Source organism: Homo sapiens, chromosome 8 (assembly GCF_000001405.40).
Source record: "Homo sapiens chromosome 8, GRCh38.p14 Primary Assembly".
Taxonomy (NCBI): Eukaryota; Metazoa; Chordata; class Mammalia; order Primates; family Hominidae; genus Homo; species Homo sapiens.
Genome location: NC_000008.11, coordinates 22,200,660 through 22,213,130, shown reverse-complemented (window position 1 = coordinate 22,213,130; position 12,471 = coordinate 22,200,660). Strand labels below are relative to the sequence as shown.

The 12,471-nt window shown below is 56.7% G+C and overlaps 1 protein-coding gene across 4 annotated transcripts in view, besides 3 other annotated features; it reads right to left on the bottom strand.

The window, feature by feature from the left end:
• The window catches only part of BMP1 (bone morphogenetic protein 1), a 46,955-nt gene continuing 35,288 nt past the window's right edge, over nt 805-12,471 (bottom strand). For 2 of the 4 annotated variants that reach the window (NR_033403.2, NM_006129.5), the window contains exons 16-20: nt 11,203-11,328; nt 6,150-6,277; nt 5,615-5,828; nt 3,436-3,686; nt 805-1,537 (exon numbers count right to left, since the gene is read on the bottom strand). Coding sequence is in view for 2 of the 4 variants with exons in the window: in NM_006129.5 (NP_006120.1) it covers nt 1,403-1,537; nt 3,436-3,686; nt 5,615-5,828; nt 6,150-6,277; nt 11,203-11,328 (854 nt within the window). In the remaining 2 variants the exon portion in view is untranslated. Of the gene's footprint in view, nt 1,538-3,435; nt 3,687-5,614; nt 5,829-6,149; nt 6,278-11,202; nt 11,329-11,648; nt 12,014-12,471 lie in introns of those variants that run through there. The other 2 variants (NR_033404.2, NM_001199.4) reach the window with 1 other exon arrangement.
• Nucleotides 894-1,585: an enhancer, noted in NCBI's record as "H3K4me1 hESC enhancer chr8:22069059-22069750 (GRCh37/hg19 assembly coordinates)". NCBI's record gives its function as "activates a minimal SCP1, AML or CMV promoter by ChIP-STARR-seq in naive H9 embryonic stem cells {active_cell/tissue: H9 hESC(naive)}" and the evidence as "EXISTENCE:reporter gene assay evidence [ECO:0000049][PMID:30033119]".
• Nucleotides 1,586-2,276: an enhancer, noted in NCBI's record as "H3K4me1 hESC enhancer chr8:22068368-22069058 (GRCh37/hg19 assembly coordinates)". NCBI's record gives its function as "activates a minimal SCP1, AML or CMV promoter by ChIP-STARR-seq in naive H9 embryonic stem cells {active_cell/tissue: H9 hESC(naive)}" and the evidence as "EXISTENCE:reporter gene assay evidence [ECO:0000049][PMID:30033119]".
• Nucleotides 2,277-2,968: an enhancer, noted in NCBI's record as "H3K4me1 hESC enhancer chr8:22067676-22068367 (GRCh37/hg19 assembly coordinates)". NCBI's record gives its function as "activates a minimal SCP1, AML or CMV promoter by ChIP-STARR-seq in primed H9 embryonic stem cells {active_cell/tissue: H9 hESC(primed)}" and the evidence as "EXISTENCE:reporter gene assay evidence [ECO:0000049][PMID:30033119]".

Sequence of the window (12,471 nt, the reverse complement as noted above, 5' to 3'; positions counted from 1 at the left end):
CTGCGGGTCCAGAGAGCAGGCCGCCCAGCTCTCCCCGGACCCTGGGAGCGCCCAGCCCGGGCGTAAGAGCCGGGGCTGCCCTGGGCTTTCTTTCCTTTTGAGATCCATGTAGAGAGAGGGGAGAGAGGGAACTGAGATGTGGTTTCTCCTCCTGGCCTCTGGGAGGTACAGGTCTGGGATGGGGAAGCGGGGTGTGCGATGGCAGGAAGAAGGAGGCCAGACAAGACATAGATTTGGGTCACCTGGGAAGTGGGGCCAGAGCTGGGATGTTTGCTCAGTGGCCGCTGAGTTCTGGCTCTTGTCTCCACGAAGACAGGGGGATCCATGGGGACCAGCACTCAGCATCTGACCGGCAGGAAGACAGGCACCAGGGGCCAACTGGACCTGTCCCAGCCGATGTGGGTTTTCTGGCCCCCGTGTGCTCACCTAGGTGGACACCCTTGCAGCCCACCTACTCCTTCCCTAGATGCAGAGACAGAAAACCCAGACGGACAGACACCCCTGACCCCTTTCACATCCTTCTTCCCTCCCCACCAAACAGCCACTTTATGGAATGTTCCACCCCTCCCCTCATGTGGGAGGACCGCGAGCAGTGCGTGTGGTGTGTGTGCGCGCTGTGATGGGTGCCTGCGAGTATCTGTGCCTGAGTGTGAAATTACACCCTTGGCAGCCTGGGATCAGGGGAGGGAAGGGCAGCCCGTGATGCCAGGTGCCCTGGCTACGTGCCAGCCTCCACAGCAAGCCCATACATCTGGAACATGATGGCCCCGCCCCCATGGCCCAGACAGCATCTGGCACAGGATATTGGCTGTAACACTTTCGGTTTATTGGCTGCGGTGCCCTGGTGTGGCTGACCGGCCACTGGGCCTGAGAGAAGCCCTGTCTTGTTTCTCCATCCCCTCCCCATCGGCTCCCCACGGTGGCTCCTGGGGGACATGCACAGACACTTGTGCCCCAGGAAACTGGGGTGGTGGAATGGGGGCTCAAAATAAAACCAAATCGAGGCTGGAGCAGGGGTGGGAAATGAACATTACAATGAAAATAATGCCCCCGGTGATACACAATACAGCGTGTAGAGACACAGGGATGGCGATGGGGTCCTGCTGACATTCCCTCTTGCCACCAGGCAGGGCCCCCTAAGAGAGGAATGATGACTTCGAAATGTCTTGTGGAAGCTCTGCTCCCTGGCCCCAGCCCCTTGCTGGTGGGGGTTTGTGGGGAAGTGGCTTATGCCGGAGTCCAGTTCCCCCACCTCCTATGGACAGTCTCACCAGGCCATTGGCCCTGCAGGTCCTGGGGCCTGGGGGAGAGGGATGGTGCGTTGCCTTCCGCCCACCCCCACTATCCAGTCTAGGCGACCAAGGGCAGCAGGCTCCAGTCCCCGCCCCTGCTCAGGCAGTGGTCACTTCCTGCTGTGGAGTGTGTCCTGGAACTTGGTGCTGGTGTATCGCAGGTGGAAACCTTTTTTGGTGATGGTGTCATCCGAGTGGAACTTCACCAGGACAGAATCTCCCGCCGAGTACACCTCCTCAGGAGGCTGGCAGAGAAAAGAGATGGGGTAAGGTGGAGGAAGAGGGGCTGGGGCTGCTGTCCTGCCTCCCCAAGATCCCCAGCTTTGAAGGGCAGGAGGCTCCCAGGCAGCCACCAGATTCTCCCCGCCCCTTGAAGCATAGGGCTTCTTGCTGGTTTAATGAGGAACCTGGGGAGGGGAGGAGGCGTGGGCCGAAGAGAACTAAGTTCCCGTAAACCCAGCTCTGCTATAACTACTAAATGAGTTGTGTAGTCTCAGGCAAGCCACCTCCCATCTCTGGGCCTCACTTCCCTCAGCCACAAACAGGAGCAAAAGGTCTCTGCTCTCCATGCCTAGGAGGGGTGCTGGGGAAAAACAAAGGACTGCACCGATGTCAAAGTATTTTGCAAAGGGAGGGAGTTCTTTGAATGGCATCACTTCCTGCTGTCCCAGTGGACTCTTAGGGAAGACGGCACAGCCACTTCTCTGCTGGAGTGTGGAGGAAGTTTTGGAGAGAAGCACAGTGCCCCCCAGGCCTGGACTCTGCCATCCCTACCCCTTGCCCCGCCTCTCCTCTGGCACCTGGCCAAGGTCTGCTCCCGAGCCCTTCTTAGGTGCCTCCTGCAAGCCTACTGAGTGAGGTCAGCCCTCAGAGCATCGGACGTCAACGCCCTGGCCTTCCAGGCACAGAAGAAATCATTTCTGAGAACCTTGAGGACATTCCGAGTAGTTGTGCCAGGAGGCCCTGATCCTTCCCCAAGTTCCTTCCGGTCAACTCAGCCTGGGGGAGGTCTCTGGAAGAAGACACCTGGGGACATCCGATTTGGTGTGTGATTCAGAAGAAAGAGCAAAGAGGGGAGGGGACACTAGCCTGGCAGCCAGGGGACACCAGGGCAGCCAAGCTGCTTCAGGCTCCACCTTGTCCCAGCCCCTGCCAGCCACACGAGGGCTGAAGCTCTGCTCCTGGGGGAGGTTCAGCCAATGCTGGGTCCAGCAGCTGCTGCAGCTTCCAGGAGCTTTAACCCTTCCTGGGGCACCCAGGCTGCCTGGGATACAGCCATGAGATAGGCAAGGGGACAGGGAGGTGACAGGAGGGCCAGTGTATTTGAAAGTGCATGCAAGTGGGTGTGCCAGTGTGTGTGTATGTGTGTGAGAGAGAGAGAGAGAGAGAGAGGGAAAGAGAGAGAGATGGGTAGGAAGACAGTCTGTCTCTTTGAAGCCCTCAGGAAAGGACAAAAAAAAAAAAAAAAAAAGAAGAAGAGGCAGCTGCAAGCTCTTACAGGGAGGAAAATAAATCCTCCCCACGAGGCTAGCCCATGTCCTTAGGGAAAAGCCCATCAAGCCTACTTTTGCTCATTGACTCTTAACGTGCCATTTTATGGACCAAGAAGCAGTGCCCAGGGGCCACTGGGACAGCAGCAGCAAGAGCTTTGGGACAAGCTGGCCTTTCATCAGGAGGAGAAACTGGTAGAGGAAATGACAAGAGTGTTTATGCCTCCGGCAAAAGGACTGGTGAGGGCCACTCCGCTCAGGCGCCCTGTCCCCGGCTCTGGTGCCAACCTCTGCCCCCCATTCCAGGCCCTGGTGGGCTGCCTTGGGGGAGGGGTAAGGAAAGGAGGGACAGAGGAAGCTCCATCCGCTCCAGGCCGTGGCCAACTGGTTCTGAGGCAGGCCTGGGTCAGAGGCCGCAGGAACTTCTAGGTTGCCCAGAAAGGACTTGGTTTCCTACGTCGGGGATGGGGCAGTGTCTCTGAGTAGCCCCAACAAGGCTGGGCTTCTGGGCTCCCACACAGGGCCACACGCGTGCTGCACTCAACTTCCGGGGCCTGTGTGGGCGCTAGGTCTTGGAGACTGGGCTGAGAAGGGTGGAGGACAGTGTGGGGCGTGGGGCATGGGGCCAGGAGGGCGAGGGGTGGGGGCCTCACCCCTGAGCCACAGTAGCGCCCCAGCCTGGGGGCTGTGCTGTCGTAGCCGTCGAAGAGCTCCATGTAGTCATAGCCGCAGTCGGTCTCCTCCTCCACCTCAAAGGTCTGGAACACGAGCTCCACGCCGTAGCCTTCCTCGGCCACAATGACCCACTCACAGTCCACACCCCCAGGGTAGTTGTTGTCGCCAAACTGGGCGTGGGAGTAAAGGTCCTTGGTCTTCACGTCTGCCCGTACCTGGCCCCCGCACTCTGTAGGGGACAAGAGGGGCCAACCAGCCCTGAGCACCGCAGGTGCCAGGCCCCATGGCACACTATGCCATGGCGTGCCCTCACGGCAGGATGGAGGCCTGGGTGAAGGCCACGAGGCCAGTGATGGGTGGGTGGGGGCCTGGCCCAGAACATTGCTGTGCTGCCCCATCTCTAAATAGAGGGACCTTGGCCCTAGGCTGAGGGGAACAGGCAGTGAGGCTCACCGAGAGGAAGACAGCATGGAGCGGTGGCACGAGGCACCACACACTTTGTCTAAAGAGGGCATTGCTCATTTTCTCCAGCTGATGGCTGTCATGGAAGAATGTGGGCCCAGTGTCGCCACAGCTTCCATTTTCAAGAGAGAAGCCGTACATCTGGGTTTTATGTGAAAACTCCTAACTTTTAAGTGTTGGCTCACATTTTTAAAAAAAACACAGTGTGGGCCAAACATAGCAGGTCTGAGGGCCAGATGGAGTTCCGGGCCTCCGGTTTGTGACCCTGTGCTGGGAAGGGCAGAGGACAGTGCATGGGGCCACCCTCCTCCCCAGGCCCTCTGGCTTTTGTGCACCTGGCACTCAGGTCTCGCTAGAGGAGGTGGGGAGAGGGAAGGACGGGGCTGGGTCAGGGACTGAGTTGAAGGGGAAGAGGGGAGGCTGTGGACCATCAGCTCTGGGGATGCCCTGACAGGTGGCTTAGGACCCAGGAGGAGACTGCAAAGCTCCCTCGTGGCATCCTTGGTCTGGCACTCAAGGCATCCCCCTGGACTCCAGCCTTTCTCTGCAGCCACATCATTCCCACAACCTGCTGTCCTCACACACCCATTGCTTCGGCCAAAGTAAATGACCTGCTGTCACCTGGGCACACTCTGGGCTGGGCTGGGGTTGTGTCTCTGCCTGGGCACCTCCCCCTGCCTCGAATGCCTCTACCAACACATGCCCAGTTAGGCCGGGGTGCCTTTCTTCCTGCCTGGCTCCCGCTTGGGCTCATGCTGTCACGGGCGGTGCCTGCCTTGTCTCTCTCCTGGACTGCGAGTTCCTAGTATGGGGTGGGGGGCAGGAGTGAAGGGCTCATGCCTGATTCAGGCCACGTGCCCCTTAGTCCTCTCGCAGAGCGGAGCTCAGTTCATGGCTGCTAAATAAACAAGCAAGTGAAAGCCGAGCAAGCCCCTCAAGGGCTGGGATCTTTGCTTGGTCTGTTTCTGGGACCTGCATTTAGGATGCCGCCTCATCCATGTTACATGTCAATAAGTATCAGGAGAATGGGCTGGGCACGGTGGCTCACGCCTGTAATCTCAGCACTTTGGGAGGCCAAGGCGGGCGGATCACCTGAGGTCAGGAGTTTGAGACTGGCCTGGCCAACATGGCGAAACCCTGTCTCTACTAAAAATACAAAAATTAGCTGGGCATGGTGGCAGGCTCCTGTAATCCCAGCTACACGGGAGGCTGAGGCAGGGGAATCGCTTGAACCCAGGAAGTGGAGGTTGCAGTGAACCAAGATCGAACCACTGCACTCCAGCCTGGGCGACAGAGCAAGACTCCATCTCAAAAAATAAAAAATAAATAAAAATAAAAATAAAAAAATAAATATCAGAGAATGAATAGAGTATATTTCAGGGTTGGTGTGTGGCTGGGCTGCTGCGGTGGCCCGCGTACGCTCAGGGGGACCTCTGGGGGCTTTCCTCTCTGTCCCTGAGTTCCCTCACCTCTCCTGTCCATCGTCATCACTGCCATCCTAACCCCTAACCACACCCTCCTATCCCTGCCCCCCAGGCCTGGTTCTCAGGACACAATGTTTGCATCACCCACAACCCTGGCCCTGGGTCGCAGGGCTCAGTCCCTCTGTACCTTCATACCCGCATTGAAACCCCCGACTCTACCCCAGTCTTGGAGACCAGGCTCAGTGAACACTCCCACAACCGGGGACAGTACCTGTGGCGTGGGAGGCCTGGAAGCCCTTTCGCTGGACCGAGTTATCTGAGTAGAAGCGCAGGAACATGCGGCTGCCTGTGGCCAGGACGGGCTCGGGCTTCTTGCTCCCACAGAAGCGGCCGAGGACGGGGGCCTTGGCGTCTCGCCCGTCGAACACCTCTAGGTGGTCGTAGGCACACTCAGGCTGGGACTCGATGTCCATCTCCATGAAGGTCTAGGGGGATGAGGAAGGAGCACAGATTAAAAATTTGGCTGGAAGGCAGGTGGGGCAAGGATGAGGGCCCCAAACCTAGGCCTCACAGATACCCATGGGAGCAGCCACAGCTGGGGATGACAGTGAAGGAGGGCCCAGGAATAGGGCGAAGGCAGGGACGCCCCTAATTTATACTGGGAAAGGGGCCTCTGTCCAGGCCAGACTTGGGGTCTCCTGGGGATGGCAGACCTCTGGGCTCAGCCTGCAGCCTGTGTGGCTCTGGGCAGTGCCTCTGACCGGGGGCAGCCACACCGCATAAGGAGTGGGGAGGGGACCCCTTACCAGCTTGACCCGGTGCCCGGGGGTGCTGGAGATGGCCCACGTGCACTCCTTCTTGCTGGGATACTTGTCAGGCCAGTTGGGGCTGGTGATGGTACCACTGGTGGATGTCACCTTGTGGTCACAGCCGGCTGCAGGGAAGCGAGTGACGGAAGGGGATAGAGAGGGACCCCAAGCTCCGATGCCTCCTGTGGGGAAGGCCCTTCCCTCCTGCCCCCCCTCCTTTCTTCCATCTCTTGTCCCACTTATGAACTGGATGGCAGGCAGGCATCGTTTCTTTTTCATGAGGTTACTGCGTCTGGGGAAAATCTAGCTGCCCGATTCCTACAAAAGCCTTGAGTGAGGCCTCACATGGCAGCACTCATGAAGCAGCCATCGCAGGCTCCCTGGACAACCCCCAGACCTTTGTAGGTGTTGGGCCACAGGGGTCATATCACCTGTGCCTCTCCATTTTTCTTTTCTTTCTTTCTTTTTTTTTTTTTTGAGATGGAGTCTCGCTCTGTTGCCCAGGCTGGAGTGCAGTGGTGTGATCTCGGCTCACTGCAACCTCCACCTCCCAGGTTTAAGTGATTCTCCTGCCTTAGCCTCCTCAGTATCTTGGATTACAGACGTGCGCCACCATCTCTGGCTAATTTTTGTATTTTTAGTAGAGACGGGGTTTCGCCATGTTGGCCAGGCTAGTCTCAAACTCCCGACCTCAGGAGATCTACCCACCTTGGCCTCCCAAAGTGCTGGGATTACAGGCGTGAGCCACTATGCCTGGCTAATTTTTGTATTTTTAGTAGAGACAGAGTTTCACCATGTTGGCCAGGCTGGTCTCGAACTCCTGGCCCCAAGTGATCCACCTGCCTAGGCCTTCCAAAGTGCTGGGATTACAGGCGTGAGCCACTGCACCCGGCTGACCTGTGCCCCTCCTTGAAGCTGTCATCCACTGATCTCCAGCAGCCTGGACAGTCACAGGGGACTTTGACACCTGACTCAGTTCTCCCCACCCCCACTCCTGCTACCCTCCCAGGTGAAGTCAACAGACATATAACGGTCCACCCAAGACGGCCTCTCGGTTCCTTGAGGGCTTTGTCATCATCCACTGTTTCTTCACATCACAAACACATCACCCCTCTGTGGCCACCTCCTGTTCCTTCGGGGTGCTCAGGACCTCACCTTCCTGATCATGGTCATTTGGCTTTATTAAAATTAAAAAACAAAAACAAAAATGGGTCCTCACTTTGCTACCCAGGCTGGAGTACAGTAGTGCGATCATAGCTCACCATAGCCTTGAGCTCCTAGGCTCAATTGATCCTCCCGCCTCAGCCTCCCAAGTAGCTGGGACTACAGGCATGCCACCTGGGTAATTTTTTTCATTTTTGCTTGTTGTAGAGATGGGGTCTCACTATGTTGCCCAGGCTGATGTCAAACTCCTGGATTCAAGCGATCCTCCTGCCTCAGCTTCCCAAAGTGCTAGGGTCACAGGCATGAGCCACTGTGCCTGGCTGGCCTCTTAATTTTAGAGAGACCTCCAGGGTCTTGATCTTTCTATTCTCTCCCACTATTTCCTCCTCGATTGACTTAACTGACTGCAGGGCTGACCACCCAGCCTGCTCCTCTGCACCCTGCGTGGCCCTGCATCCCCGGCTCTGCACAGCACTATCTTAGAAAACTCCACCTGTGGCTCCAGCCTCACCTGGGCCCCCAGACCACTTGATACTCTTTGGATTGGCCTTTACCAGCTCCATCTCTCACCTCCTTAGTAACTGCTGCAAACATCCAGCCCCCTCCTCAAGCCACTGTGTCAGCTCCCAGTGGCAGACCACCTCTCTCCTACCTCCTGACAAAGCCAGGGCCTTCCACCATGAATGGCTTCAACCTCTGGACTCCGACCTGCAAACCCACCTACCCTGCTACCCTGCTGCCCTGAAGCCTCAGAGCAAGTGTCCCTCCTCCCCGTCAGGATGGACTGCCCTTCTGGGAGGTGCAGCTCATTGCTGCCCACGCGTGGGAACCCTCACACCACAAATGATCCAGCCTCACGCTCTCACTCAGCTCTGCAGCCTCGGAACCTTCACACATCCTGAAAGAGCTCTCCCAGGCCCCTCCAGCTACAGCCCATCGCTCTCCTTTTGTTTCCAGCTAGCCTTCGAGAACACTCGCTATGGCCACACTCTCACGGCAGGTCTCCTCAATCCACGGCAATCTGACTTCTGCCTCTGAAAAGCATGGCTTCCCCAACTCAATTTCTTTTTGCGGGGGCGGGCGGGGTGGGGGGGGACAGGGTCTTGCTCTGTTGCCCAGGCTGGAGTGAAGTGGCGCGATCCTGGCTCACTGCAACCTCTGCCTCCCAGGTTCAAGCGATTCTTGTGCCTCAGCCTCCCAAGCAGTTGGGACTATAGGCTTGCGCCACCACGCCTGGCTAATTTTTTGTATTTTTAGTGGAGACGGGTGTTGCCATGTTGCCCAGGCTGGTCTTGAGCTCCTGAGCTCAGGCAATCTGCCCCCATCAGCTTCCCAAAGTGCTGGGATTACAGGCATGAGCCACCACGCCCTGCCCCGACTCAGATTTACAAGCTGATGATCATTATTCATGATGACATTATTGGACAGCTTTCACTGGGGGAAACAGGCGGCCAGGCACTATGACTGGTGGGGAGAAGGATGGGCAAGATACAGCACGAGGGCCCGGAAAACAGGGCCCTCTCAAGTCCCTGGTAGAGGCAGGTGAAGCTCCCGTCTACCCACACTTGAACCGTGAGCTGTCACCATTACCCATCGGTGGGTTCACACAGCCCCCTGCCCTCCCTCTTTGCGCTCTGGCCTTCCACGCCCCCTGTGTTCCTTGCACGCCCATGTCTCTCCCCAGCTAGGCTGCAATCTCCGTGGGAACAGAGGGGTTCCTGTCTTGAATCCCCTACAGATCTTTGCATAGTGCTGGGTCCTCCATAGGAATCAGGAAATGCTTACAGATCTGTAATTAACCTATCACCTGAGTAAGAAACCACACATGCTTCTAAGGTGAATCAGCAGATGGAAAGGTAAACAGGCCATCTTCTCCAGGAGCTTCACCCCTGTCCTGGCTATCTTGTGGATTCTGTTCTTTATCAAACCATCTTTTTACACAGGGGAGTACAGAGACAGAATGCAGTTTAGACAATATCAGTATAAGGTCCCCTCTAGCTAGTTCCATGACTCAGGAACTGTGTATTTGGGAAGCCTGAGGTCACAGGGTTGGAAGCCCTCGACTGTCCACTGGTTCACTGTTGAGGGCTTCGGTTCTGTTTCTGCTTGTGAGCAGCTCATCTGTTTAAACCTGGGTTGTCAACCTAACCAGGGTGGGAAGAGTCACTTGCCAAGCATGGTGCTAATGGCTCAGAGCCATGTCTATAAAGCTTAGTACCCTGCAAGGTAGGTATCATTTTTATTATTTTTTATTTTTTGAAACGGAGTCTTGCTCTGTTGCCCAGGCTGGAGTGCAATGGCATGATCTCGGCTCACTGCAACCTCCGCCTTCCAGGTTCAAGCAATTCTCCTGCCTCAACCTCCTGAGTAGCTGGGATTACAGGTGCGTCCCACCACGCCTGGCTAATTTTTTGTATTTCTAGTAGAGACGGGTTTTCATCACGCTGGCCAGGCTGGTCTTGAATTCCTGACCTCAAGTGATCCGATCGCCTTGGCCTCCCAAAGTACTGGGATTACAGGCGTGAGCCACTGCACCTGGCCTATCATTTTTTATCGTTTCATGGATGAGGAAACTGAAACACAGAGAGGTTGAGTGACTCACCCAAAGTCACACAGATGTTCAATGGTAGAGGCAAGTCTGTGTTGTGCTGCTGGGATTGGACACACCCAGCAGGCAAGGGCCACAGTGGAATCCCTGACTTAGAGCGGGCCTGTGAGGTATCAAGTCCCAGGAGGTATTAGGGGATACTGGTGATGCCATGAGAGCTGTTTTTATTTTGCTTTATTTATTTATTTATATTTTTATTTGTTTTTTCCCACTCTGTCACCCAGGCTGGAGTACAGTGGTGTGATCTCGGCTCATGCAGCCTCAGCCTCCCCAGACTCAGGTGATTCTCCCACCTCAGCCTCCAGGGTAGCTGGGACTATAGGCATGCACCACCACATCCAGCTAATTTTTTGTATTTATTGTAGAGATGGGGTTTCGCCATGTTGCCCAGGTTGGTCTTAAACTCCTGGGCTGACGCAATCTGCCCACCTCAGCCTCCCAAAGTGCTGGGATTACAGGTGTGAACCACCGCACTGGCCTATTTTACTTTATTTCTAGTTTAAAAACCTGTTTAAAAGTAAAATAGAGACAGAGTCTCACTATGTTGCTCAGGCTGGTCTTGAATGCCTGAGCTCAAGCGATCCTCCTGCCTCGGCCTCCCAAAGTGCTGGGATTACAGGCATGAGCCACCGTGCCCGGCCTAGAGCTATTTTTAAATGTGTGCAGGGCTTCACTGCCAGGAAGGCAGTGGCCCTGTTCTGACCATCCCCAGGGGTTATAAGTGTGACTGATAGTGGTAACAGATGCCATTGTGCTTGCGGTGAGCCAGGCCCTGCTTGGGGCCCTTCAAGCTCCCAATGCCTCTCTGAGGTGGGTACTATTATTATTATCTACATTTTACCCAGGAGCAAACCAAGGCACAGAGAGGGTCAAGGAGTCACTCAAAGGCACACAGCTAGTGAAGCGGCAGGGCTGGGCCAGGCCACCTGGCTCTGGAGGCTGTGCTCTTACCCACTATCCTTTCTCGCCTCTGTGCCGGTAGGAAGTCACAAAGAGACTTGGACATGGTTTTAAGAAGCACAAACTAGAAAAGTCTGAAAATGAAGCCTCAGAGCAGCCGTGAGCTCCTCCTCTCCTAATGTGGGCAACAGAAGTGAGCGTGTGGCTCCGACACTGCGGGAGGAGGATCTATGTACCAGGTGGGTGGGGGAATGAGGGGGCCTTAGAGATCATACAGGCCCCAGAATCTAAACGGAGGCTGATGGAGATGATCCTCTGGGCTTCCACTCCCAGCAGCAGGTCCTTCAAGCCCAGATGCCCCTGGCATGCAGCCCGTACCTTCTTTGCAGTCGTGCTTGTTGTCATGGAGGACGAAGCCACTGCGGCATTGGCACTCATAACTGCCGAACGTGTTGACGCAGTCCTGCTGGCAGCCGCCGTTATCCTTGGAGCACTCGTCCTTGTCTGCAGGGGAGCAAATAAGGGCAGACGCTGGGTCTGTGCAGGGCTGAGGTTGGGATGCCCCAGGGGAAGTGGAGGCCTGGCTGGACTTTCTCCCACCGGGACAGAGCAACAGCTGGCAGAGCTGGCCAGGCCAGGTGGCCGGGAGTGGGAGGCCAGGCGACAAGGGGGTCCAAAGGGGCACTGCATCCAGCAGGACCAGCTGAGCAGGGCCCAGCTGTGGGGAGAGGAGGATGGGGGTCCGAGCGGACCAGCATGGGTCACCATTACCTGCTTACTGGACAGATGGACAAGTGGAAAAATAGACACATGGACAAGCAGACTGCAAGAGAAAGGAGCAGGACGCAGGGGTCCCTCTTTTACTTCACAACAGGAAATGTCACAGACACCATCAAAATGGGAGGGGGTAGGGCACGGGGAAGGGTCCCCGGTCCGCGGACGGGCACAGTGGGGAGAAGAGAGCACCAGTTCTGTCCGGCCAGAGGGAGGTGGGCCGGAATGGCAGAGTGGAGGTGGGGGGTTGGTGGGCACCGAAGCCCCCATCCCATTCCGTCCAAGGTGAGGTTCCTGAGTAACAAGGGGTCCGGGAGGCCTGGCAGGCCTCACTGGGGGGTCCGGTTTCTTTTCTGCACTCGGAATTTGAGCTGGTGGGGGCGTCCCCGAGGGGGCTGCAGAGCTGGCCTCTTTTCTGAAACGAGAGAGAGAAGGAGAAAAGGGACCAAGGGGTGGGGGTGGAGGGCAGGGACCAGGGAGGGACAGCAGTGAAAACCAGACCCAGGGCCTCTGAGGTGGATCTGAGGGGCAGGGTGGGGCGGGAGGGCAGGCGGACACACATGCAGGGTGGCCATGTCCGGGCGCATCCAGGGCACGGAGGGCTGGGTTAGCAGGGGCAGGAGGCACAGCGACGGGACAGAGACAGAGCCTGTGGCAGGAGAAGGCCTGGAGGGTTGGCACACGTAGCCCACTAGGCGTGCATTGCATCAGGGAAGGAGAGAACTGGGGAGTCGTCGGTAGAGGGGAACAGTACTTGGGAAGGGCTGGGGAGAGCTCTGCTCTGGCTCTCATTCAGGCGGCGACATCTACAGAGTGTGTTAGACAGACACACGCACTCGCAAATACACCTGCAGACCCAGTGCATGGATGTAC